This window comes from Homo sapiens, chromosome 2 (genome assembly GCF_000001405.40).
Source record: "Homo sapiens chromosome 2, GRCh38.p14 Primary Assembly".
Lineage (NCBI taxonomy): Eukaryota > Metazoa > Chordata > Mammalia > Primates > Hominidae > Homo > Homo sapiens.
In genome coordinates, this window is record NC_000002.12 from 237,936,066 (window position 1) to 237,963,695 (window position 27,630).

Sequence of the window (27,630 nt, forward strand, 5' to 3'; positions counted from 1 at the left end):
CAGTCTCCCTCCCCCACTGCAAGTGTTCCCTACAGTGATCCCGATGGTCCTGAATAGAAGTCTTCCTTATTGAGCTTTAATAAGTATTCTTGGATTAATGTTTTCTTTAGCACAGGGAAGTCTGTCTACTACTTTTATATGATTACCAAATTGCAAGAAGAAGATCATGCCCTTTGTTTGATTCCATCTTCTCTTTGATGATGCAACCATCAGGATCAAGACAGCACACACAGCCTGGGCACGGGGGCTCACGCCTGCAATTCCAGCACTTTGGGAGGCCAAAGCGGATGGATCACTTGAGGTCAGGAGTTCGAGACCAGCCTGGCCAAAAAGGTAAAACCCTGTCTCTACCGCAAATACAAACATTAGCCAGCATGGTTGGCACGTGCCTGTAATCCCAGCTACTCTGGAGGCTGAGGCACAAGAATTGCTTGAACCTGGGAGGCAGAGGTTGCAGTGAGCCCAGATCAAGTCACTGCATTCCAGCCTGGGCAACAGAGCCAGACTCTGTCTCAAAAAAAAAAATCAAAAACAAAAACAAAAACGAAAAACAAAGATGGCAAACAGGTGGGGGCAGGTTCCTAGGGCCACCAAGATGCTTTGCATGGAACCCAATGTGCTTGGCACCCCTGGAATTCTGAGTCATTTTGGGACCTGGTGGCAGTGGGGGCATGTTAATTCTTTGCCATCCCTTCAAATCAATATTCTCTAAATTTGTCAGAATTTAGGTGACAGAGGGCTGGGTGCGGTGGCTTACGCCTATAATCCCAGCATTTCGGGAGGCTGAGGCAGGTGGATCATCTGAGGTCAGGAGTTCGAGACCATCCTGGACAACATGGTGAAACCCTGTCTCTACTAAAAATACAAAAATTAGCTGGGTGGCATGCGCCTGTAGTCCCAGCTCCTCAGGAGGCTGAGGCAGGAGAATTGCTTGAACCCTGGAGGCGGAGGTTGCAGTGAGCCGAGATGGTGCCACTGCACTCCAGCCCAGGCAACAGAGTGAGACTCTGTCTCAAAAAAAAAAAAAAATGGCCGGGCGTGGTGGCTCATGCCTGTAATCCTAGCACTTTGGGAGGCCAAGGCAGGCGGATCACAAGGTCAGGAGATCGAGACCACCCTGGCTAACACGGTGAAACCTAGTCTCTACTAAAAATACCAAAAAAATTAGCTGGGCGTGATGGCAGGCACCTGTAGTCCAGCTACTCAGGAGGCTGAGGCAGGAGAACGGCGTGAACCTGGGAGGCAGAACTTGCAGTGAGCCGAGATTGCACCACTGCACTCCAGCCTGGGTGACATGGCAAGACTCTATCTCAAAAAAAGAAAAAAAAATTCTCAAAATATTAGTAAATTGAATCCAACAACACATGAAAAGAATTAAACATAAATCAAATGATATTTATTCCAGGTATACAAGACTGATTCAGCATTCAAAAATAAATTAATGCAATCCATGACATCAAAAGTCTAAAGAAAAGAAATCATATGATCATATTCATTGATGCTGAAAAAGCATTTGACAAAACCAACACCCATCCATGATAAAAAAAATTCAGTAAATAAAACCAGAAAGAGGAGGGAACTTTGTCAGTTTGTTTTTTTTTAATCTACCCAAAAACCCTACAACTAATATTATACCTAATGAAGAAAAGTTGAATGCTTTTCCCCTGAGAACAGGAAAAAGGCAAAGATATCCCCTTTTACCACTATGATTCAATATCATACCAAAGTCCTAGGAAGTGCAATAAAACAAGAAAAGGAAATAAAATGTATACATATTGGAAAGTAAGAGGCAAAATTGTCTTTGTTCACAGATGAGATGATTGTCTGTGTAGAAAATCCCAAAGAATAAAGACTCCTAGAATGAATCAGTGTTTACAGCAATATTGCAGGATATCTGTTAATAGTTGAAAGTCTATTACTTTCCTACGGATATTATAATTTAGGAGGTTGGGGAGGGGGCTCTCAGGAAGGAATGCCGACCGTGACAAGAGAATCTAACTGTTGTTGATTTTAAAAAGTCAAACTCCAGATGGGCACAGTGGCTCACACCTGTAATCCCAGCACTTTGGGAGGCCGAAGCAGGCCGATCACGAGGTCAGGAAATCAAGACCATCCTGGCTAACACAGTGAAACCCTGTCTCTACTAAAAATACAAAAAATTAGCCGGGCATGGTGGCAGGCGCCTATAGTCCTAGCTACTCGGTCGGGAGGCTAAGGCAGGACAATGGCATGAACCCATGAGGCAGAGCTTGCAGTGAGATCGCGCCACTGCACTCCAGCCTGGGTGACAGAGCGAGACTCCATCTCAAAAAAAAAAAAAAAAATACAAAGATTAGCTGGGCATGGTGGTGCACACCTGTAATCCCAGCTACTCAGGATGCTGAGGCAGGATAATTGCTTGAACCTGGGAGGCAGCAGTTGCAGTGAGCCAAGATTGTGCCATTGCACTCCAGACTGGGCGACAGAGGAAGGCTCCATCTCGAGAAGAAAAAAAAAAGAAAAGAAATATATTTGGGGGCCGGGCCCAGTGGCTTATGCCTGTAATCCCAGCACTTTGGGAGGCTGAGGCAGGTGGATCAGCTGAGGTCAGGAGTTCGAGCCCAGCCAGGGCAACATAGTGAGACCCCATCTCTACTAAAAATACAAAAATTAGCCAGGTGTGGTGGTGGATACCTGTAATCCCAGCTACTCGGGAGGCTGAGGCAGGAGAATCACTTGAACCCAGGAGGTGGAGGCTGCAGTGAGCTGAGATTGCACCACTGCACTCTAGCCTGGATGGCAGAGTGAAACTCTGTCTAAAATATATATATATATATATATATATATGGATAAATATTTTGATTTCTTTCAGGAACACACTATCTGTCAAGTGATGTTATACTAGAATCAGGTTGGAATTTGGTATCTTATTACTATAAAGAGTCTGTTTTGTCACTCTTAAGACCTCTGTTTTAATGTTAGTGTTGGTCAGTTGTGCCTGAACTCCAAAGGGAGGAGAATATAATGAGGCATGTCTGACCCCTCTTTCCTGTCATCACATGAAGTAGTTTTTCAGGTTTCTTTGGACCCCCTTGGTAGAAAGGAGGGGTCTCTTCAGTCAGTTGGGAGGCTTAGAATTGTATTTTTGGTTTACGCAACAAACTGTATTACAAATGCATGCAACAACTTTGCTGGAGGGGATGGAGGGGTGGGGGTGGAGGGGATGGGAAGGTGCTGACCTAAGTAACTTGGAAATGAGTTGCACCTCTAAGACTAAAGACAGAAGGAATTGCACAAAAGCACTGTAGTCTAGTTAATAAAGTTGTTTGCTATGGAGGCATGAGCTAATAATTCAGATACTGCTCTACAAATATACTGGAATAGAGCAATTATGTAAACAGTGGCAGATGGTAGAAGCTACATTTCTCAGTGTGTTTACACAAAAGCAAGGGGAGGAAGCTAGAATGATCCATGTGGTGATGGATTATACATCAGTATGAATTCATTCTTAGCTTACTATAGATGCAGATAGCTACATATAGAAATAGTTGTAGATACATGCTGCTGGTTACATATGTGACATGAGTTAGTATGAACACATATACAGGTATGTGTCACTTAATGGTGTTAGAGTCTCATCAATGCACCACAATGGAGCAGTCTCTCATTGTGAGGTATCACCCAGAGTTCTTTGTCTTACAACCAAGAGAGTTGAGGAGTATGGACACAAAGGATGAGTTTGAAGCAAAAGTTTAATAAGTGAAAGAAGAAAGCTCTCTGCTGCAGAGAGGGGACTTGAAGAGGGTTGCCATTTTTACAACTGAATGCCAAGGCTTTTATAGGAAACTGAAGAGGGCCGAGTGTCTCATTTGCTTAAGGCACAAACTTCTGGTAGCTCTACCCCATCCTCCTAACGTGCATGTGTGCCCTTGGCTTGAGTTACTCCATATTGCTTTGTAACCCTTACTGCACATGTGTCAGGGGACAGAATTTTCCATTGTGGGCATGTCTGGGCAAGTCACCTATGTAGGCTTTCTTTTTTTTTTTTTTTTTTTTTTTTTTGAGACAGAGTTTCACTCTTGTTGCCCAGGCTGGAGTGCAATGGTGAGATCTCTGCTCACCGCAACCTCAACCTCCTGGGTTCATGCAATTCTCCTGCCTCAGCCTCCCGAGTAGCTGGAATTACAAGCATGCAGCACCATGCCCAGCTAATTTTGTATTTTTAGTAGAGATGGGGTTTCTCCATGTTGGTCAGTCTGGTCTCGAACTCCCGACCTCAGGTGATCCGCCCACCTTTCTTATCAGTGCAGCTGTGGGCATGTCTTAGGCAAGCCCCCCGTGCAAGTTCCCTTATCTATGCCTGCAGGCTGTTCTTTTGTTTGAAAGAATTCAACCAAGGACCCACCCTAACTGCCTGTCTGATCTGTTTCTTTCTCCTCTCTCAATGTCAGGGATACCTTTTAAGAAATGTGTCAGGTGATTTTTGTCATTGTGCAAATATCAGAGAGTGTACTCACACAAACATAGATGGTGCAGCCTACTACACACCTAGGCTGTACGGTATAACCGATCGTGCCTAGGCTACAAATCTGTGCGGCATGTCATTGTACTGAAGAGTGTAGGCCATTGGGACACAGTGGTATTCATGCATGTAAACATATCTTAACATAGAAAAGTTCAGTTAAAAACATGGTATTTGCTTCATAGCAGTCCAGTCCATGCAAACCTACCCCCAAAGTCCAAGGAAGCTGAGGGCTAAAGAAGAGGCTGACAAATCCAGCTCCTCAGAAAGAAGCATTTAATAAAGACTTATGAAGAGAAGCCATGTCTCAGGTAGCCAAAAGTTGGTGGACCCCCACACCATTCCTACCATAGGGGAAGGAACAGGTAGGACAAGTGAAGCTGATCCCTAGGGAAGGGCAAGAATGCTATGTGAATCTGCCTAAGGGCAGGATTTATGGCCAAGGTCATTTTGACCCAAGGCCAGGGTTTATGGTAATAGTAGATAAAATAGAAATCTTAGAGGCCTCCCTGAACAGGGGTTAATGAGAAGTCACCATAGTGGATTAGAGTCCAAGATGGAATTGCTTTAGCCTCCACAGTCTTATAATCTTATGAGACCACCATCAAATATATCATCCATCATTGACCCAAACATTGTCATGTGGTTCATGACTCTATTTTTTTACCCTGCTAGCTGAAAGGGCCTTTAAAAACCAATACCCTGAGCTGGGAATGGTGCATGAGTCTGTAATCCTAGCTACCTGAGAGGCTGAAGTCAGAGGATCACTTGAGTCCAGGAATTCAAGACCAGCCTGGGCAACATAAAAAGACCCCCATCTCAAACACACACACACACACACACACACACATATGCACACACACACATGCACACACACGTGCACACACACACATGCACACACACACACACACAAACACCTTAGTAGCAATAAGCACACTGAGCACTCAAATACTTGTTTTGAACACCATTTCCAATTAAAGGAAGAATTTCAATTATTGTTTTTCTCAACTGTTATCTATTGCCTCGGGCAGCAACAACTAAAGCCTTTGGCTATAAGTGTTTTCCACAAACACTCCCTGCGTAAGTCTTCAACACTGGGAAAGTTCTGGGTCAAAAAAAAATAAAGTGTTTTGAGCTGGTCTTCCAGGGAAGACAGGTCAAATAATGACAGTTCTTTGAGAATGAGGTCTGTTCTGCTCTCTCTGGTGCTGGGGATGTGTGCTGTTACCTGTATGGAAATAAGGAGAGAAGCAAAGGCTATTTATCTACTCAGAGCTTGCTATGACAAGGGAGGAAGCCACTCTCCTGTGTTTCAGCAGACACTCAAAAGCAGGCAGGGGAGTGGGGAAGCTTCGTGCTGGAGAAAAGGGAAGGCTCAGGTGTGTGCAGATTGGAGGCTGTTGACCTAGGGAAGCTGGAGGGCTCGCTAGAAATGGGGCTTCTATATGATTGCTTAGGGGAGCAAATTGACTTTCTCTGGTTGGTCCTCAGCTGGAAGCAGGGACAAAAATTAGGAAAGTGTCTAGTTATTAACCAGTCAACTGGCTGCGTGGGGCCAATTGTCACAGAAGTAATTGTTTTTACTTTGTGGATTGTTTCTAGAGAGAGCAATTGGACCTCCAACAAGTCTGACTTGTAGCATGCTGGCTTCCTGAGTTGTTATGTGCAGATAAGGGTTTGGCTTCCTTCCTGGGCTTGTTGTTACCGGTTGTGGGTGAGAGTTCTGTTTGTGTATATGGCCTGGCCATTGTCTGTATATTTGGTCTCTCTCTTTTTTTTTGAGATGGAGTCTCACTCTGTCACCCAGGCTGGAGTGCGGTGGCGTGATAGCTCACTGCAACCTCCACCTCCCAGGTTCAAGCAATTCTTGTGCCTCAGCCTCCTGATTAGCTGGGATTACAGGCACACGCCATCAGGCTAACTTTTGTATTTTTAGTAGAGACGGGATTTCACCACGTTGGCCAGGATGGTCTCAAACTCCTGACCTCAGATGATCCACCCATGTCGAACTTCCAAAGTGCTGGGATTACAGGCGTGAGCCACTGCACCTAAACTGGCCTCTCATTTTCAAGTTTCCTGCTTTGCTGGGGAGCCAGGGAGGGGAATAGAGTAAGTTAACTGCCACAAAGCCTGCTGCTCTTACAGAGACTCCAGCCCTTCCTTCAGCTCTTCCTCTTATCAAGTGCTTCCTGACTTCTTACAAGTCTTTGTTTAATTTCCAGAGTTCCAAGAAATTAACTCCAGCAGTTTGGGCCAATGTTTTGTTGCTTCTTAGAATGCACAATAATTTCAGGGTTCCTTATTGTATTTTCACTAACATCACTTGCCATATTAATTTTTTTCCTTTTATTATATTAGAAACGGGGGTGTCTCACTATATTGCCCAGGCTGGTCTCGAACGCCTGAGCTCAAGTGATCCTCCTGCCTCGGCCTCCCAAAGTGCTGGCATTGTAGGCATGAGCCACCACACCTGGCTATAAGTAGATTGTTCTTCAGAGGTTATTTTCAGCTGACTTTTGGTTTCCTATCTAATTTTGTAATGGTGGGTAATGAAGCCCCTCTGAACCAAGAAGTTTGTATGCAGCTCATTCTTGTCTTCTGTGATTTTCTTTTCTCTCTCTCTCTGTCTTTCTTAAGTATAATTAGAGAGTTTATTTGGGCCAAATTTGAGGACTGCAACCCAGGAGACATATAGTCAAGTTACCCTGAATATATGTTCCCCTCTTCCATTTTCATCTGTCCTGCCCAGCTCCTGTTAAGTACATAAACTGCCAGTCCCATGGCGTTATTTAAGGGGAGGTACATTTAATACCTTGTCTTTTTAAATCAACATAGTGGCCAATCATAGCACAGGGCCTGGCATAGGGTATTAAGCCTCCTCTTGGCTGACACATTTTTTTTCTAGAGACACAGCAAACACCAGTCATGTGGACAGGGAGCAAGTAGACATCATTGGCTTTGATGGCAGCAATGGCCCATCTGGAGAGGCCACTGTGAAAATGCCAGCTGCAGTGGGGGAGGTGTGGTCAGGGCGGCATGCTCCACAGAACAGGCGGGAGCCCCGGCCCCTACTGAGTCGGCAGGACAGAAGCCCCATGCTCCCAGGCGCAGCTGCAGCCACTCAGCCTCAGCTCCAGACCCAGGCATCCGTGCACTCTTGGGGGCCCAGGAAGCCCCTTACCCCTGCAGGCTTGAAAGTGTCTGCTCCTGCTGCCTGGCTTCCCACTGCTCCCAGTGCCCACTCTATGGTAGAGCAAAGCTGTGGCCCATCCTGGGCACTGTCATGACCTGGCTGAGTGCCTGATTTTGGGATGCTGCTGACATGCCAGCCCCCTGGAACCTTGCCCCCTCTGGACTTTGGGTGTCAACCAGCATGGGAGGGAAGCCAAAGGGGTGCTGAGGGCAGCTCAGTGAGGGCCTGCAGGTGCCCCTCAACATGAACAGCTTGGGTGCCGTGGATGGCACATTGATGGCAGCAGGAGGCAGACAGGCTCCTGAGTGGGAAGAGGAGGGTCCCCAGTGAAGCCCCACATTCAAGCCAGGGACAGCCTGAAGCCTAGGGGCTGGGCTGTCAGTTACAGATGGAGTCCACAGCCTGGAGTGAGAACTTATGGTACTTTTTCCAGGCCCACCTATGGCTGCCCACGGTCAGCACACACTTCCTCCCTTCTAAGCCCATAAAAACCCCAGACTCCCACAGACATCAGGACTACCAGCTGCAGGAAGGAAGGGACGACCTACTTTGGGTCTCCTCAACTTGTCGGGACAACCTGCCTGTGGACAGGAGCTACCCACCCTGGGTCTCATCTCCATTGAGAGCTGGACACTCATCAGGATGCCCTGCCTTCAGAAAGGAGCTACCCACTCCGGATCTCCTCTCTGCTGAGGGCTGCATTCATCAGAACTACCTCCCTGTGGAAACAAACTACCCACTCTGGGTCTCCTGAGAGCTGTTCTGTCACTCATTAAAATTCCTCTCCATCTTTCTCACTCTCCAGTTGCCAACGTACCTCATTCTTCCTGGACATGGGACAAGAACTCACCACATGGTGTGACTGAAAGAGCTGTAACACAAACAGGGCTGAAACATGCCCCCCAACCCCCCACTCACCGTGTTGTGGGCAACAAGAAGGAGAGAAGACCTGTGGCCCTTCAGGAAGCCCAGACATAGGGGGTCCCTGAGCCAGGGCTGTGACACCTTCTTTGGAGCTCTGTGGTTCCTGGTATTGCCAAGCTTCCAGGCACCACCATGCTCCCCTCGTCCAGACATAGGTAACCACAGAGGAAGCCGCCTGCAGTACATCTTATCCAGATGCAGCCTTGCACAGAGTTGGTGCCTGTGCCAGTGCCTGGAGCTGCCTGTCCCATAGCAGCAGCCAGTTCACCTGGCTGTGCACAGTGGCTGGACCCCACACTCACTCCACTTTGCTACTGGCTCACCCTTGTCAGGTGTAAGATCCCGGCCAGTAGCACGAGCTGAGTGCAGCCTGCCAGGCCAAGTGGGCAGAATGAGCCAAGTGGGCCTGAGCAAAAACTCAGGCAAAGGCACCACCAGCCACAGAGGTTTCCAACTGCAAAAGCAACAACCTAAGGATCCTGAGGCAGCTTGAGAGACAATGGAGAGTAAGACAGCAATAGACAGAGGCAGGGCTGTGGAGCGACGCAGGCCTCCAAAGAAGAGAGAAGTTTCCATTCCTGAAGCCTTCTGGAATCTGAAGTTTGCTGCCTGGACTGCCCGGTTTTAGTGGAAGAAAGCTTGCATGGGTCTCTGTTTGTTGCTACCAAAGACTCTTGGCTAGAGCAACGTGGATGAAGGAAGGTTGAACCAAAGACATGACAGTGGTTCCGAGGGGCTGGGCAGCCTTTGTGGCCTCCCACCACCACCTCAATTAAGCCAAGCGGTGGATGAAGAGAAGCTTCTGGGCTGTCAAGTGCCTGCTTCTTAAAATCACTTTGGAGAACCCAGGGAGTGCAGGAGGCAAAGCAGCGCCCCCTGCGTGAGTCATCCCCATTTGAGCAGCCTTCCCACCCCGACCTGAGACACAAGGCCACACTTAGCATCGAGGGAGACCAAGTGATGTACCCAGCTTCAAGCCAGGCTTTGTTACAGAGAAGAAAGGAAGGGTAGATGTTGGCATAGCAACCAGCATTGTCTGCAACTCTCTCTGCTGCGTGTCTCCCCATCAGATGCCCCCTGGGAACAGGGTGCCTGAGTGCGACTCTTAGGCCTGTATGATAAAACTGGACTTCTAATTCCCTCTTTCACGTAAATCAGAGCCAGTCATATCATTTCTGCCCACAACCCAACAGCCGTAGCGAGCCACAGGGCCCTACCTGACTGCAGATGGCTGGACGCATGGGGAGCAGAAGGAAGGTAATGAACAACACCACCTCCACCAGCCTTTAACAGGAGTGACGTGGCTCTACGTGCGCTTACAGAAAAGGCCTTCAAGACCTGCCGTTAGCTGGAAAAATAAGAAGAGCAAGCTACAAAACTCACATAGAATATGATCCCACTTGGGTAAGAAATGGTTCAATTAACCCTTAATAGGCCAGGCATAGTGGCTTGTGCATGTAATTCCAGCACTTTGGGAGGCCAAGGCAGTGGGTTGCTTGAGCTGACGAGTTTGAGACCAGCCTGAGCAACATGGTGAAAACTCATGTCTACAAAAAATACAAAAACAAGCCAGGGGTGGTGGCACATGCCTGTGGTCCAGCTACTCAGGAAGCTGAAGTGGGAGGATCACTTGAGCCCAGGAGGTGGAGGTTGCAGTGAGCCAAGAATGTGTCACTGTACTCCAGCCTGGGTGACAGAGCCAGACTCTGTCAAGAAAGAAAAGGAAGGAAGGAAGGAAGAAAGGAAGGAAGGAAGGAAGGAAGGAAGGAAGGAAAGAAGGAAGGGAGGGAGGGAGGGAGGGAAGGGAAGGGAAGGAAGGAAAGAGAGACAGAGAGATGAAAGAAGAAAAAAAAGAAAGAAAGAAAGAAGAAAGGAAGGAAGGAGAGAGGGAGGGAGGAGGAAGGAAAAAGAAAGTGAGAGAAAGGAAGGAGGGAAGGAAGGAAGAAGGAAGGAAGGAGAAAGAGAAAGAGAGAAAGAAGGAAAGAAAAAGAAAGAAAGAAAGGGTTCAAGATGCAGATATGGACACATGGCTATATTAGCTTCCAATTGCTGCTGTGACAAATTACCACAAACCTGGTGAAAACAACACACATTTGTTATCTTACAGTTCTGGAGGTGAAACATCTAAAATCGAGGTGTCACCAGGGCTGCATTCCTTCTGGAGGCTTCAGGGGAATCTGTTTCCTGTGTTTTTCAGCCTCCAGAGGCTGCCCGAGTTCCTTGGCTTGTGGCCACTTCCTCCATCTTCACTAGCAGAGGAGCATCTTCAGAGTACCCTCCCTCCCTCCCTCCCTCCCTCCCTTCCTTCCTTCCTTCCACTCTCTCTCTCTCTCTTTTGACAGGGTCTCGCTCTGTCACCCAGACTATCATAGCATACTGAAATATGAATCCACTGGGCTCGAGTGATCCCTGTCTCAGGGGATCACTACCTTCCGAGTAGCCAGAACTCCAGGTGTATGTCACCATGCCCAGCTAATTTTTCAATTTTTGGTAGAGATGGGAGTCTTGCTTTGTTGCCCAAGCTGTTCTCGAAATCCTGGGTTCAATCAGTCCTCCCACCATGGGCTCCCAAAGGGCTTGGATTACAGGTGTGAGCCACCACACCCGGCCTTCACATCTCTTTCTTTCTGACTCTGATCTCCTGTGTAGCTCATAGGAATATGCCACCCCAAAATACACTATGCCGGCATGAAGATTAATTTGAGCTAGAGGCAAATGATAATCAGTAGATGAAGAAAAACATCTTCTTGGTGCTTCTCTTACCTGACAAAAAAGCAGAAACTTCTGGGGAATGAGGATTGCTATACATTTCCTCTCCCAGGGAAGCTTTATGGCCATGTAGAAGATGGAAAGTCAGCATCCAGATGGACCTGCCCAGGTAGCCCTACTCTTCTGTTAGCTTCCCTCATCTGGTCACCTTCTCACAGTTTGTCACCCTTGGAAGCCTAAAACCCTCTTCCTTTGTCTCATCGCTTCTCTAAAAATGTATTGTTCCTTTGCTAAAATGCTGCATAAACCCAGTTCTTCTTTTTTTTTTTTTTTTTTTGAGATAGAGTCTCAAGCTGTCACCCAGGCTGGAGTGCAGTGGCACAATCTCGTCTCACTGCAAACTCCACCTCCTGGGTTCAAGTGATTCTCCTGCCTCAGTCTCCTGAGTAGCTGGGATTACAGGCTCATGCCACCACACCCAGCTAATTTTTGTATTTTTAGTAGAGATGGTGTTTCACCATGTTGGCCAGGCTGGTCTCAAACTCCTGACTTCAGGTGATCCACCCACCTCGGCCTCCCAAAGTGCTGGGATTACAGGCATGAGCCATCATGCCCGGCCTACATAAACCCAGTTCTAAATATCCCTCTGAGTTACTCATCACTAAGGTTTCTCCCAAGTGATGTGTACTGCACTTTCTAACAATCTGTTTGTTTTTCTCTTGTTAGTCTGTCTTTTGTCAGCCTAATTTTCAGGACCCCAGCTGGAAAACTTAAGATGAGCAGAGGAAAAAGATGCCCTCACACACCTGCCTCACTCTTTTTTTTTTTTTTTTTTTTTTTTTTCAGATAGAGTCTCGATCTGTCACCCAGGCTGGAGTGCAGTGGCACGATCTCGGCTCACCGCAAGCTCCGCCTCCCGGGTTCTTGCCATTCTCCTGCCTCAGCCTCCCAAGTAGCTGGGACTACAGGCGCCCGCCACTGCGCCCAGCTAATTTTTTGTATTTTTAGTAGAGACAGAGTTTCACGTGTTAGCCGGGATGGTCTCAATCTCCTGACCTCATGATCCGCCCTCCTCAGCCTCCCAAAGTGCTGGGATTACAGGCGTGAGCCACCAAGCCCCGCCTGCCTCACTCTTATAAGGACCCTTGTGACGACATTGGGCCCACCATATAATACAAGATAATCTCCCAGCTCAAGGTCTTTAAGTTAATCACATCTGCAAAGTCCCTTTTGCCTTGTGAGGCAACATATTCACAGGTTCCAGGGATTAGGATGTGGACATTTGGGAGGAGGGCATTATTCTGCCCACAACAATGGCCCGTGGCCATAGAAACTTCTGGAGAGGTTTGTTATACAGCTTTGGGGTGGGGAGAGTTCCTTTAAGGAAAAGTATACTCAATTTTGACTACAAGTTAAGGATGAAAGTAAATATTATTGGTGGTGAGAAAGCAAATCACAAATACCACAGACTGGCCGGGGGTGGTGGCTCACGTCTGTAATCCCAGCACTTTGAGAGGCTGGGGTGGGCAAATCACCTGAGGTTAGGAGTTCAAGACCAGCCTGGCCAACATGGTAAAACCCGTTTCTACTAAAAATACAAAAATTAGCCAGGTGTAGTGGCGCACACCTGTAGTCCCAGCTACTTGGGAGGCTGAGACAGGAGAATTGCTTGAACCCAGGAGGCAGAGGTTGCAGTGAGCCAAGATCACACCACTACACACCAGACAGAATGAGATTCTGTCTCAAAAACAAACAAACAAATATGACAAACTTCAAAAAAAATAGGAAAATATTATATACGTCACACATTATATATATGATATGGTTTGGCTCTGTGTCCCTCCCCCAAATCTCACCTTGAATTGTAATAATCACCATGTGTCAAGAGTGGGGCCAGGTGGAGATAATTGAATCACGGGAACAGTTTCCCCCATGCTGTTCTCGTGAGAGTGAGTGAGTTCTCATGAGATCTGATGTTTTTATAAGGGGCTTCTCCCTTCACTGGATCCTCATTCTCTATTGCCGCCCTGTGAAGAGGTACCTCCACCATGATTATAAGTTTCCTGAGGCCTCCCAGCCGTGCTGAACTGTGAGTAATTAAACCTCTTCCCTTTCTAAATTTCCCAGTCTCAGGTATGTCTTTGTTAGCAGCACGAGAACAGACTAATACAATATCATTATTATTTTGTAAATAATATTACATATCATATATATTATGTGATTATAGTTTTCTGCATTTTGTCATTTTTATGCTATTTATTATTTTCTAACTCTAAATAAATATTGACTTTCATCCCTGACTTTGCATTCTTTGAATATACAGCACTTTGTTTTTGTTTTGTTTTGTTTTGGTTTGGTTTGGTTTTTGAGACCAGGTCTCACTCTGTCGCCCAGGCTGGAGTGCAGCAGCATGACTGCAACCTCCACCTCCTGCGTTCAAGTGATTCTCCTGCCTCAGCCTCCTGAGTAGCTAGGACTACAGTCACATGCCACCACACCCAGCTACTTTTTATATTTTTTGGTAGAGATGGGGTTTCACCATGTAGGCCAGGCTGGTCTCGAACTCCTGATCTCAAGTGATCCACCCGCCTTGGCCTCCCAAAGTGCTGGGATTACAGGAGTGAGCCACGGCACCCAGCCAAGTATATAGCACTTTGTATAATCACTTTATATAATGTTCTTTCTTAAAGAGGACTCCTCATCTACGTATCAAGACAGAGATCCACAAAACTGGATCTGTTCTGGAGTACAAGAGCTTTTTTCCAAAGAAAATATGACTGCTTATTTGCCAGAGATGGACTTGAAAAAAAACAAAAGGCTGAGCACAGTGGCTCATGCCTGCAATCCCAACACTTTAGGAGGCTGAGCTGGGTGGATCACTTGAGGTCAGGAGTTCGAGAAGAGCCCGGTAAACATGGCAAAACCCCATCTCTACCAAAAAAATACAAAAATTAGCCAGGCATGGTGGTGCACACCTGTAGTGCCAGCTACTTGGGGGACTGAGGTGGAAAGATCACTTGAGCCCAGAAGGTCAAGGCTGCATTGAGCCAAGATCGTGCCACTGCACTCCAGCCTGGGAGACAGCCAGTTAAATTTCTTTCCTTTATAAATTACCCAGTCTCAGGTAGTTCTTTATAGCAATGTAGGAAAGAACTAATAAAAAGACATAGGCCGGCTTGGGCGTGGTGCCCCGCCCCTGTAATTCCAGCACTTTGGGAAGCTAAGGTGGGCAGATTGCTTGAACTCAGAAGTTTGAGACCAACCTGGGCAAGATGGTGAAACCCCATCTCTACCAAAAATACAAAAACTTAGCCAGTTGTGGTAGTGTATGTCTGTGGTCCCAGCTACTTGGGAGGCTGAGGTGGGAGGATTGCTTAAGCCTGGGAGGCAGAGACTGCAGTGAGCCAAGATTGAGCCACTGCACTCCCATCTGGGTGACAGAGTGAGACTCCATCTCAAAAAACAAAAACAAAACGAAACAAAAAACTATAGGCCAGGTCCAGGGGCTCACAGCTGTAATCCTAACACTTTGGGAGGCCAAGGCAATTCCATGGCTTGAGCCCAGGAATTCGAGACCAGTCTGGGCAACATGGTGAAACCCCTTCTCTATGAAAAATACAAAAAATTAGCTGGGCATGGTGGAGGATGTCTGTAATCCCAGCTACTTAGGAGGCTGAGGTGGGAGGATCACTTGAGCCCATGAGGTCAAGACTGTAGTGAGCCGAGATTGCGCCACTGCACTATACCCTGGCACTGTCTCAAAAAAAAAAAAAAAAACAAAAAACAAAAAAAAAAAAACTGGGAGGCCAAGGTGAGCAGATTGCTTGAACCCAGGAGTTCAAGGCCAGTGTGGGCAACAGGGCAAAACCTCATCTCTACAAAAATACAGTTAGCTGGGCATGGTGGTGCGTACCTGTGGTCCCAGCTACTGGGGAGGCTGAGGTGGGAAGATTACTTGAGCCCAGGAGGCAGAGGTTGCAGTCACACCACTACACTCCAGCCTGGGTGACAGTGAGACTTTGTCTCAAAAAAAAAAAAAAAAGACAGAAAGAAGGAAGGAGGGAGGGAGGGAGGGGAAGAGAGAGAGAGAAAGAAAGAGAAGAAAGAAAGAGAAAGGAAAGAAAGAAGGAAGGAAAGAAAGGAAGGAAGGAAGGAAGGAAGGAAGAAAAAACGAAGGAACGAACAAAAGAAAGCAAGAAAGAAAGAAAGAAAAGAAAGAAAGAGAAGAAAACTATAAACAAAGCTAAGGCTGTGTTCCGTGACTCATGCCTGTAATCTCAGCATTTTGGGAGGCTGAGGTGGGCAGATCACCTGAGGTCAGGAATTCGAGACCAGCCTGGCCAACCTGGTGAAACCCTATCTCTACTAAAAATACAAAAATTAGCTGGGTGTGATGGCGTGCGCCTGTAATCCCAGCTACTCAGGAGGCTGAGGTACGAGAATCGCTTGAACCTGGGAGGCTGAGGTTGCAGTGAGCTGAGATCATGCCACTGTACTCCAGCCTGGGCAACAGAGTGAGGCTGTCTCAAAACAAAACAAAACAAAACAAAAAAACAAAGCTAAGGAACCAGCCACTGAACAGAAGATTTTGTACTATATACACTAAGTCTTATGTATTAGACATAGGATTTGTTCCAGAATGCCTAAAGAACGTATAGAAATCAATAAGAAAAAGATAACTCAGCAGAAAAATGGGCAAACAATATGAAGAGGCCATTCACAGAAGGAAAATTGTGAATGGCCAATAGACAACAGGAAAACTGCGCACACTTGCCATTGAGAGATATGCAAAGGAGAGCCACAGGCAGATACCATTTCATCCCCATCACATTGCTGAAATCAGCCTGTCAATGCCAGGAGGTTACGGGGAAGTGCAAATCCTCACATACTGCTTGTAGGCATGTTAAGTAGTATGGCCACTCTAAAGACCAATGTGGCAATTCTAGCGAAGCTGAAAATGTGTATACTCTATCATCCAGCTATTTCACTTTTTGGGGCAGGCTTTAGAGAAACTCCTTACCTTATGCCAGGCGAGGTGTCAGAGGCCGGGCAACAGAAAGTGATTGACTCTCAGGTAGTAAGAAGAATTTACCAATAGTATAGATTTTAAAAGGAGGCCAGGCGCAGTGGCTCATGCCTGTAACTCCAGCACTTTGGGAGGCTGAGGTGGGCAAATCACCTGAGGTCAGGAGTTTGAGACCAGCCTGACCAATATGGTGAAATCCCAGCTCTACTAAAATACAAAAATTAGCAGGGTGTGGTGGTGCATGCCTGTAATCCCAGTTACATGGGAGGCTGAGGCAGGAGGATTGCTTGAACCTGGGAGGCAGAGGTTGCAGTGAGCCAAGATTGCACTACTGCACTCCAGCCCGGGCAACAGAGTGAGACTCCTTCTCAGAAAAGAAAGAAAGAGAAAGGAAGGAAGGAAGGAAGGAAGGAAGGAAGGAAGGAAGGAAGGAAGGAAGGAAAGGAAAGTTTTATTAGATAGAAACTATGCTGTGGAAGAGTACAGTGGGCACTTCAGCAAGAGGGGACAGCACACAGCAGTGGATTTTCCTTAGGGCTATTAATGGTCCTTAAAGTGTGAGCTTAAGGGTAATTTGGACCATATTAGCCAGGTAAGACATGACAGATAAATGATTACCTTTGTAGACATTTTGCTGCCTTACTGCCAGCAAGGGTTGCACAATGAGTTTTGACATCTGCATTCCGCAGATGTATAGAAATTCGAATTACTTATACATTTTAGGGAAAGAAGCCTGGAACTGGATGCTGGCTTTAGATAATAGGGAAGTCTAATTTACTTCTAAGCTTCTTAGATAAGGAGTTTTGCCTCTGGACCTTACTCCAGTTTACTTTCACCAGGCAGTGTGTTTGCTGCAGCAGTGTTTGTGATTGCAAATAATTGGAAGCAATGAAATGGAAACAGGAAACTGGACAATCATGAAATATTCTTTTTTAAAAAATTATTATTATTTTTAATTTATATATATATACACACACACACACATATACACACACATACATATACACATAATTTCTTTTTGAGACAGAGTCTCACTCTGTTGCCCAGGCTGCAGTGCAGTGGCATGATCTCGGCTCACTACAACCTCCACCTCCTAGGTTCAAGCAATTCTCCTGCCTCAGCCTCCCAAGTAGCTGGGATACAGGCATCCGCCACCACGCCTGGCTAATTTTTGTGTTTTTAGTAGAGATGGGGTTTCATCATGTTGGCCCAGGCTGGCCTCAAACTCCTGACCTCAGGTGATCCACCCACCTCGGCCTCCCAAAGTGCTGGGATTACAGGCATAAGCCACTGTGCTCGACCAATTTTTATATATTTTTATTTATTTATTTATTTGAGACAGGGGCTCCCTCTGTCACTCAGGCTGGAGTGCAGTGGCACAATCATGGCTCACTGCAGCCTTGGCTTCCTAGGCTCAGTGATCCACCCACCTTAGCCCCCCAAGTAGCTGAAACCATAGGCGCATGCCACTACACCCAGCTAGTTTTTGTATTTTTGACAGAAATGGGATTTCACTATGTTACCCAGGTTGGTCTCAAACTCCTGAGCTCAAGTAATCCACCCACCCACCTCGACCTCCCAAAGTGCTGGGATTACAGGTGTGAGCCACTGCATGTGGCCAATTGTAAAATATTCTTAAGAATGAATAACATATGCACTTATTAAAAGGAATAATATGGCCAGACACGGTGACTTACACCTGTAATCCTAGCACTTTGGGAGACCGAGGTGGGAGAACTGCTTGAATCCAGGAGTTAGAGATCACATCTCTATAAAAAATTTAAAAATTAGCTGGGTGCAGTGGCTCACCCCTGTAGTCCCAGCACTTTGGGAGGCCAAGGCAGGCAGATCACTTGAGGTCGGGAGCTCGAGACCAGCCTGACCAACATGGTGAAACCCCATCTCTACTAAACATACAAAATTAGCCAGGCATGATGGCGCATGCCTGTAATCCAGCTACTAGGGAGGCTGAGGCAGGAGAATTGCTTGAACCCGGGAGGCAGAGGTTGCAGTGAGCCGAGATCGCGCCATTGCACTCCAGCCTGGGCAAGAAGAGTGAAACTCCGTCTCAAAAATAAATAAATAAATTTAAAAAAATTAACCAGGTGGCACATGCCTGTAGTCCAAGCTACTTTGGAGGCTGAGTCAGAAGGATTGCTTGGGCCAGGAGGTCAAGCCTGCAGCGAGCTGTGATTGCACCACTGCACTCCAACCCGAGTGACAGTAAGACCCAGTCTCAAAAAAAAAAAAAAAAAAAAAAGAGGAACAATATGGATTTCTATATATCAATATGAATAGATTTCAAAGACATAGTATTAAGTTAAAGAACTAAGTTGTGGAATAAGTACTTTTTTTGGTGAGTATATGTATACATACCTAAGAGTGAAATTGCTGGGTTGTAAACATTTCTTCAACTTTAGTGGCCGCCACCTATTTTCCAAAGCCAATGTATAAATATTCACTCCCATCTGCAGTGTATAAGAGTGCATTTGCTCCACATCCTTACCATCTTTTTCGTTTTAGCCATCCTGACAGGTGTGAAGCAATGTCAGATGGTTTCTTTTCCTGCTGACTAGTGAGTGGCCAATGGCTCGCTGAAGCCTGAAACTCCTGGTCTCAAGAGACTCTCGGCCTGAGCCTCCAGGTAGCTGGGACTGCAGGCGCCACCCTTCCCAGGTTCACAGGCTTCTTGCCATTTGGCTTACCTCATTTGTGAAGTGCCCAATCAAATCATCAGATGATTTTTCTTGGGGAATTTCTGCCTTTTCTTGTTGACTTACAGACTACAGTTCTGGCTATGAATTCTTTGTGAGATACATGTGTGCCAAATATCTCCTCCCACCCTGCGGCTTGTCTTTTGATTGTCTTGATGGTGTCGTTTTATCAAGAGAGGTCCTGAGTTATAGCGTAGTCTTTTTGTCCTTCATGACTAGTCCTTTTTTGTGTTCTGCCTAAAGAAGCTTTGCCTTCTCCATGCAACAATTTTCCTATGAGCTCTTCTAAAAGCGTAGTCTTACCTTTTACATTTAGAGCTACAATTCATCTGGAATCTGAATTCCTTTGTAATCTTTCCTTTAAGGTGGTACGCAGTGGTGGGACGGGGCTGGGAGGGGGTAGCAGGCCGCTCCGTGCAAAGGCAGCCCTGCCCCGCAGTGTACCAAGCCTTTCCCCTCACTATTTTTCTCTGCTTTGCTCTGACCTTGGCTCCTCAAGATGCCCCCCTTGGAGGCTGGCCCTACCCTGCAGTCAGCTCTTCGGGCTTCCTCGAAGGCTGGGCACTGCCCCGCTGCCGGTGCTCAGCCTTCAGGGGGCCCGCCGGGTTCCAGGAACAGCCAGGACCACCTGTCTGCGGGACCCGCGGAGCCAGGACCCCTGCAGGCGGAGCCTCACCCGCAGCCCAATGCCCGGGTGTCGCCCCCACCCAACTCTCCTGCCCCGGGAGGACCCGGCTTCGGGGCTTTGGGGAACCTGCGGCGCCTGGGCCACCCCCTGCGTGGACCCCTGGACCCCAGGCGAGGCCACCAGCGCCCACCATCCAAAGGGCGACAGGGAGGCGTCCCCCCAACCCCGGCGGCGATGCCTCCTGAGTCCTAACCACACGCCGTGGACCCCCGCACCCTCAGTAGCCCCGCGCCGAGTGTAACCGCGCCCCGTGTCCTGGGATCCCGCGGCCCGGGTAACCAGGTCCCATGTAACCGCAGCCTGGTGAAGCCGTGCGCCCTGGGCGCGGCTACTTGGCCCTCACGGCAGGGCGGAGATGCGAGGCCCCAGGGTTCGGCCCCGCAGCGCCGCTGAGTCCAAGGACCGAGCTGGGAGTGGGGGCGGAGCCAAGAAGGGGCGCCCCTGCGCCCACAAGCCGCAGCGCCCAGGAATCCCCTGGGCGCCTCCGCGTCCCCCGCGGGCTGTCCCGGCAGGCAGGCAGCCCACCCCAGGGCTCCCCTCGTGGAAGGACACCCCTGCTGACCCTGGCCCTGGTTCTGGCGGTGTCTCCACTCAGCCCTCGGAGGGACGCCCACCTCCCGCGGAGCTGGGGGACTGTGGCTTCCTCCTGCGCGGGGAGGTCGGTGGGCGCCGTGGACCCGTCCCGCCCCTGTCTGAGGAGCCGAGTCGGCCACAGAGGGGCAGCAGACTAGGGAGGGCTGATGGGCCGTGCACTTAGCTCCCTCCGGGCTGCTGGCCGGGGCCCTTGAACGGACAGATGCCAACTGGCAGATGAGGGGGCTGCGTCCACCCCCACCCCACCCCCGCCCCCAGGCCGCTTCCAAAGGTTTCTCCCGGATTCCCACAGGCGGCCCGCCAGGCCCTGCTTGGCAGCTTGTTCCCTCGCATCCCACCCCCGTTCCACCCCCCAAAATCAAAACGGTTCAGGGTTCTGTGAAGTGAAAAGACCCCTGTTCCCGCCCAGAGCAGCAGCTGGTGTCTGTGGGTTAGGGGTAGGATTGCTGTCCCCTCGAAATTCATATGTTGAAGCCTTAACCCCCAGTACCTCAGAGTTGCTTCCCCCTAAGTTTTATTTGGAGAGAGGTCGTTAAGGTGGGCTCTAATCCCATGTGACTGGTGTCCTTATGAAAAGGGACATCCGGAGGTGGAGGTGGAGGAGCACACAGGGAGAAGACGGTGGCGTCCACAAGCCAAGGAGAGAGGCCTAGGCCAGACCGCAGCTGATAGCTTCAGAAGGAAAGCCTTCCACTTCTCCATTCCGACTTCTGGCCTCCCCAAAGAAGAGACCATACATTTCTGTTGTTTAAACCACTTAGTTGATGGTACTTTGTTTCAATAGCCCTAGCAAATGAACACAATATGCAGCTAAATATTTTCTAATAGTTCATAGACTTATCTCTATCCAAACAGACCATTTTATTTAAAAGTTTTTTTCTTTCCTTCCTTCCTTCCTTCCTTCCTCTTTCTTTCTTCTTTTCTTTCTTTCTTTCTCTTTCTTTCTTTCTTTCCTTCCTTCTTCCTTCCTCTCTCTTTCTCTTCCTTCCTTTCTTGCTTTCTTTCTCTTTCTTTCTTTCTTTCTTTCTTTCTTTTGACAGGGTCTCACTCTGTCACCCAGGCAGAGTGCAGTGTGTACTTATAGCTCACTGTAGCCTTGAGCTCCTGGGCTCCAGTGATCCTCCCACCCCAGCCTCTGGAATGGCTAGGACTAGAGGTTCATGCCACCACACCCAGCTAAGTTTTCTTTTCCTTTTCATTTTTGTAGAGACTAGGTCTTGCTGTGTTGCCCAGGCTGGTCTTGAACTCCTGGGCTCAAGCAATCCTCCTGCTTCTGCCTCCTAAAGTGCAGGGATTACAGGTGTGAGTCACAGGGCCTGGTCCTACTTATTTTTTCATTTTATCATGTGTGATGGATACTTTTCCAGCAGGGAATGTGTGTTTACCTTGTTTTTGGAGCAGCTGTGTAGACTCTCTCACTAATGCCCCATCACCTATTCCCCAGGGCCCTTACAGGGACTACTCAGCTTGCTTCTGGGATGTTGTTACTGACGATACATCATTGATAGGATATTTGAACCTGTTCCTCTGCTGGGCAGGCCCATTCTGAATGGTGGCTCCTCCTCTTTACAAATAAGACCTGTAGCATCACCATCACCTGAATTATCCTGGACTCTAGTCACGTGGGCTTCGAAAGGAGTTATGGAATGTTGGTTCCCCCTAAGTCTCTAGCAAGAGCTGTGGCTGCAGGGGAAGGGACTACCTTGATGTGCCAGGTGACTGTTTTAGGTGGCCCCAGTAGGACCCCGGGGGGGCAGCCTGAGATGGAAACAGCGTGGATGCCGTCCCGACCATCACTGATGCTCCAAATTTGGGATGGCTGCTCCTGATCATGTTCTGCCTTGTGCACTTAAGCGTTCCCATGAACTCGCAGATACACATTTTCAGCCGGGTTTTTAGGGAAAAGTGTTTTGTGGTATTTTCCACACAGCACCCACTGGAGTGCACAATGTCAGATAGTGAGAACAATGAAGACTATAGAGGCCATGCCAAATGAAAGTACAGCTACGGTACTTGCCTGCAAGAGCGGCTCCAGCATCCTGAGTGCCTGTGAAAAGCACCTTGATGTGCCCTCGGGTGATGGCAGTGCCTCTCCCTGCAGCCAGGCCTTCCTGAGCCCAGACCCCAGGCTGCAGCCCCAGCCGCCATCCACTGGGAATGCTCTATGGGAGACACGGTGCATTCGCTTCCTGTGGAGGCTGTCACAAATGGTTGCTCAAAAACGACACACATTCTCTTACCTTTCTGAATGTCAGAAATCTAAGAGCAAGGTGCTGGCAGGTGTGTGAGTCTGCTCGGGCTTCCATAACAAAACTCCAGAGGCACGGCAGCTTAAACCACAGAAATTAATTATTTCCGTTCTAGAAGCTGGAGTCCAAGATCCAGGTGTTGGCAGGGCCGGTTTCTCCCAAGGCCTCTCTCCTTGGCTTGTAGGCGGCCATCTTCTCCCTGTTTCTTCACCTGGTTTTCTCTCCATGCATGTCTGTATACTAAACTCCTCTTTTTATAAGGACACCAGTCTGTATTGGGTTAGGGCCTTCTCTAATGACCTCTTTTTTAACTTAATTACCTTTTTATTTATTTACTTTTTACATTCAGAATTTTTTCTCGCATACCAGCCTTCTTGGATAACTTAATTACCTTTAAGGGCCCTCTCTTTAGATAGAGTCACATTCCAAGGTCTTGGGGTTAGAGCTTCAATGTATATATGTGGAGGAGGACACAATTTAGCCCATAACAACAGGGCTGCATTCCTTCCGAAGGGTTCAAGGGAGCACCCCCTTCCTTGCTTTCTGCAGCCTCTAGAAGCCACCTGCATTCTGTGGCTTGGGCCCCTTCCTCGAATGCCCCCAACCTCTGCTTCCATCCTCACATCTCCTGCTGACAGATCTCTGGCCTTCCTGGCATAAGGACCTTTGTGATTACCTTTGCCCTACCTGGATAATCCATGATAATCTCATCTCAAGATCCTGGATTTACTCACATCTGCAAAGTCCCTTTACCATGTAAAGTCATATATTCACTGATTCCAGAAATTAGGACAAGGACATCTTTAGGGGCCATTATTCAGCCTTCCACATATGGTTGTGACCTGTCATACCACACACATCTACCACGTAAGACCTCTAACAGAGCTAAACCATAAAAGGTGGCACTTTTCTTTAGCTGCATAGAAACACCTGAAAACTTAGCCGGGCGCAGTGGCTCATGCCTGTCACCCCACCACTTCGGAAGGCCGAGGTGGGCAGATCACTTGAGGTCAGGAGTTCAAGACCAGCCTGACCAACATGGTGAAACCCCATGTCTACTGAAACCACAAAAAATTAGCTGGGCGCAATGGCACGTGCCTATAATCCCAGCTACTCGGGAGGCTGAGGTGGGACAGTCGGTTGAACCCAGGAGGCGGAGGTTGCAGTGAGTTGAGATTGTGCCATTGCACTCCAGGCTGGGTAACAGAGCAATATTTCGTCTCAAAAATAAATAAAATAAAACCCCTGAAAACTTGAACTAACCTTGGTTAGTGACTAATCCAAAAGAACATGCAATACAAAATGGGAGACAGTGTGACAAAGGCAGACAACTTAAATCCATTTCTGCAAGAAAGTAAAACCAAAAAGCCCCCAGAGGAAGGTGGCTTCTCTCACATTTGATGGTCCTGTAGGGCTTTGCCAGTTCTGGGGTCACTTGATGGGCAGCCAGGAAGGAGGAAGAACCACAGGACTACCATGTCCCTATTCCAGTCCCCATGCACAGACCTTATTAAAAGGAGCCCATTGTTGCTGTAGGTGAATGATGACGATCTCAATCCTATCATCAGATTTAAAACACCACTCTGACTCAGTCCCTCTCCAACAAAGCCATCACAGCCCACTGTATTATTTTTTTTTAAGAAATAAAAAGAAACAAGCTGTATTCCCTGGAGGCCAGTTGCAAAAGCAAAACTTAATTATACCAGTTATGTAATTAAAATTATACTACTTAGAATTTTCAATTGTCTGCTTCCTGGATGACCCCTTACTAAATAATAATAACGATGATAATCTGAGCCCCCATCTGCCCCAGCTATGGGAAGTTCATCCCTCCCTCATGCCACGGAGGACCCCAGAACTGGGACTTGGGTGTCACCTCTCAGCTTCTGCCCCTCAGACAGCCTCACAGCACTCCACACCACCTCCGGCTGCTTTGTAGTCTCATCTTTGTCCTCCTCTCCAGGTTAGACCCCAGGCCCCAAAAGGCCCAATAAAGCTTTTCCTAACAGAAACACCATTTACCTGTCTCCCCTTTTAGCAAGAGAATGAGCTAGTGGGACATGGGATTTTTGGCATTTATTTTCAGCTTCCTCAGTTGAATTCTAAGGCAAGGCTTACCGTCAGCACAGTTCTCTCTCCCTCCTTTCCCCAGTGATCCCTAAACTCATGTGGGTCAGTGGAGGCTTTGTTCCCCCCTGTCTGGAACAAACCTTAGCGGCCACAGTTGTATCCCTGCCCCTATTCTGTGGTGGTTTACTAAATGCTAGTTTCTCCCATTAGCTGAGGCTTTTGGAGGGCAGGGTCTGTCCCCAACGACACTCAGCCCTTGACAGGTACTTATTATATAGTGCCTGATTTGGATTGAAGTAGATTTGAGAAGGCTCCACAGGGACATGGGGCCTGTATGTGTCCAGGCCTGCACTTGAGTGTCCTGGGCCTTGCTCCCCAGGAACACCAGATGAAGCCGGAGGGCAGATGCACACCTGGGAGTAATCTAGAACAACACAAAACAAGTGGAGCAAGGGCTGGCCAAGGGCTGTGTTGCACCCTTTCTCCCATGTCTACTCCCACGGGAGTTCAGCATCCCCTGGGCTGTTTCCCAATTCACACAACAAGGGCTTGCACCTGGAACATGGCTAAGGTCTTGCCTGGGGTAAGGACACTGTGTCTGGAGGAAGGGGCATGAGCACTGGACCCACTGGGCTTGGTGATGCCAGCTCACCCAGACTGCAGATCGTACCTCTGGAGGCCAATCTTCCACTGAAGCCCGGAGCCAGGAATGCCTACCCCAGTGGGGAATGAATGGAGTGTGCCCCACCCACAGTGAGGGCAGGAGGGAAGAGTGGAGTGGACGGCTAAATGCAGTGGATGCCCCTCCAGGGCTTTCCTGGAAGCAAGGGACACAATGTTTGTTTCTCCAAAATTCATATGTTGATGCCCTAACCCACAGTGTGCTGTATTTGGAGATGGGGCCTCTATGAAAGCAATTAAGGTTAAATGAGGCCCTAACCTGGGGCCCTGACCTGGCAGGATTCGAATCCTTATAAGGAGACAACAGAGAGCTCTCATGCTTGCGTGCCCACTCTCTCTCTCTCTGCCCCAGCACACAGAGGCCGTGTGAGCACAGCCAGATGGCGGCTGCTTACAAGCAAGAGGAGGCCTCAGAACGAACCCTACCTTGCCAGACCTTGATCTTGAACTACCCAGCCTCCAGACTGTGAGAAAATAAACATCTGTTGTGTAAGCCACCCAGTCTGTGGTATTTTATGGCAGCCTAAGCAGAATAAGATGCTGGCAGAGGCCACTTTTCCTGCCTGGGAGACCCTTCCCTCACCCCACAGGTTCCCAGGTCCCTGCACCAGCCCAGGCCAGAGTGCTGCCAGCCCTGGACCAGGCTGAAAATATAGATAGCCCAGGCCATCTCCCCTTCCACATCCTAGCTGGAAGCCTCTGGGGTTGAACTTACAGGGGTGAGGGAGGAAGGGATGCGAGGACATTGTCTCCCCCTGCCCTTCCTTGGGCAACAACACTCCTCTGTGAGGCTCACAGTTGAACTTCCACCCCACTCCCACACACACACACAGTGGTTCTGTGACTGAAGCAGAGCCAGTCCCTCCCAGAGAACATGAAAGTTACAGTTAGGGGCACCAGCCCCCTTTATGTCCTGGATTGTGGAGATGTCTGAGCCCAGGCCCTAGCTCCCTGGAGGCACCTGGTAGGGCAAGGCCAGCCCACAGAGGCCAGGACTCAGGTGACAGGCCTGCAGGCAATACACTCATGGCACCATCTCCAGCTTCCCAGAGCTTACCTCAAGTTCTTTGTATCAGCTGCCTCAAGGTGTGCTGGCTGAGGGCAAATCTCAGAGTCAGACTGCCTGGCTTTAAATCCTAGCTCTGCCATTGTTGGAAATGGGAGTTCGGTGTGGCAAAATCAACACTGAGACAAAGGATCTCTCAGCAAGGCTAGTTTAGTTTCTGCAGAAAGGGTGCCGCTCGCTAGCAGTCTTGCCATGAGAGCACACCTGAACAAAGGAGATGGGGACATTTATAATCTTTGTAACCTGATGCAATCGTCCTATGGCTGTGTCCCATTTCCATTGGCCAGAATGGGACCTCACATTCTAAGCTTGACCTGATTGGCTAACAGCTTGAAACTTTTCTAAATAGGTAAAGAGGAAAGAGGACAAAGGAAAGAGGAAGCTAGTCATGAGAGGGTCAGGAGGGTTTCCAAATAAGCTATGGCAGGCACTATGGTCCCGGGCTGCCTTAACCCTGTCCAGGCATGCCAGGTCAAGTCAGAGCAGCTGCACTGGAACATATATAGATATGCATAAAGCAAAGAAATGACAAGCTCTTTATGGTTTTAAGAAACTTTGAAGAACTTCTCTATTCCTCACAGCCATGTTGGACATGTAAACCAAAAATAAAATTCTAAGCCCCCTAATCGACAGAATGGACCCCTCCTCTTGAACAAGGGGATTCTGAAGAAACCTAAAAAATTAGTTCAGGCCATGATGGGAAGGAGGGGTCAGACATGCTGCATTATACCCTCCTCACTTTGGCATTCAAGCACAGCTCACCAGCATTAACATTAAAACAGAGATCATAAGACTGACAAAACAGGCTGTTTGTACTAATAAGATGCCAAATTCCAACTGACTCTAGTATAGCATCACATGACGGTGGGCCCTGAAAGAAAGAGAAATATTTCACCCCAAAATATATTTCTTTGAGTTTTTTTTTTTTTTTTTTTGTGACAGAGTCTTGCTCTGTCACCCAGGCTGGATTGCAATGGAGCAATCTTGGTTCACTGCAACCTCAGCCTCCCGGGTTCAAGTGATTCTCCTGCCTCAGCCTACTGAGTAGCTGAGATTACAGGCGCCTGCCACCACACCTGGCTAATTTTTGTATTTTAGTAGAGATGGGGTTTCACCATGTTGGTGAGGCTGGTCTCGAACTCCTGACCTCGTGATCCCAAAGTGCTGAGATTACAGGCATGAGCCACCGTGCCCAGCCTTCTTTGACATATTTTG

General features: G+C 48.2%; 1 long non-coding RNA gene across 1 annotated transcript, besides 1 other annotated feature; it reads left to right on the plus strand.

Annotated features, from left to right (window-relative positions):
* Positions 5,314-5,813: an enhancer, noted in NCBI's record as "H3K27ac hESC enhancer chr2:238850021-238850520 (GRCh37/hg19 assembly coordinates)". NCBI's record gives its function as "activates a minimal SCP1, AML or CMV promoter by ChIP-STARR-seq in naive H9 embryonic stem cells {active_cell/tissue: H9 hESC(naive)}" and the evidence as "EXISTENCE:reporter gene assay evidence [ECO:0000049][PMID:30033119]".
* On the plus strand, positions 9,397-25,846 carry LOC124908001 (uncharacterized). The gene is made up of 2 exons (XR_007088146.1): positions 9,397-10,022; positions 25,702-25,846. It is a non-coding gene; the product is annotated as an uncharacterized LOC124908001 (long non-coding RNA).
* Positions 25,847-27,630: the final 1,784 nt, after the last annotated feature.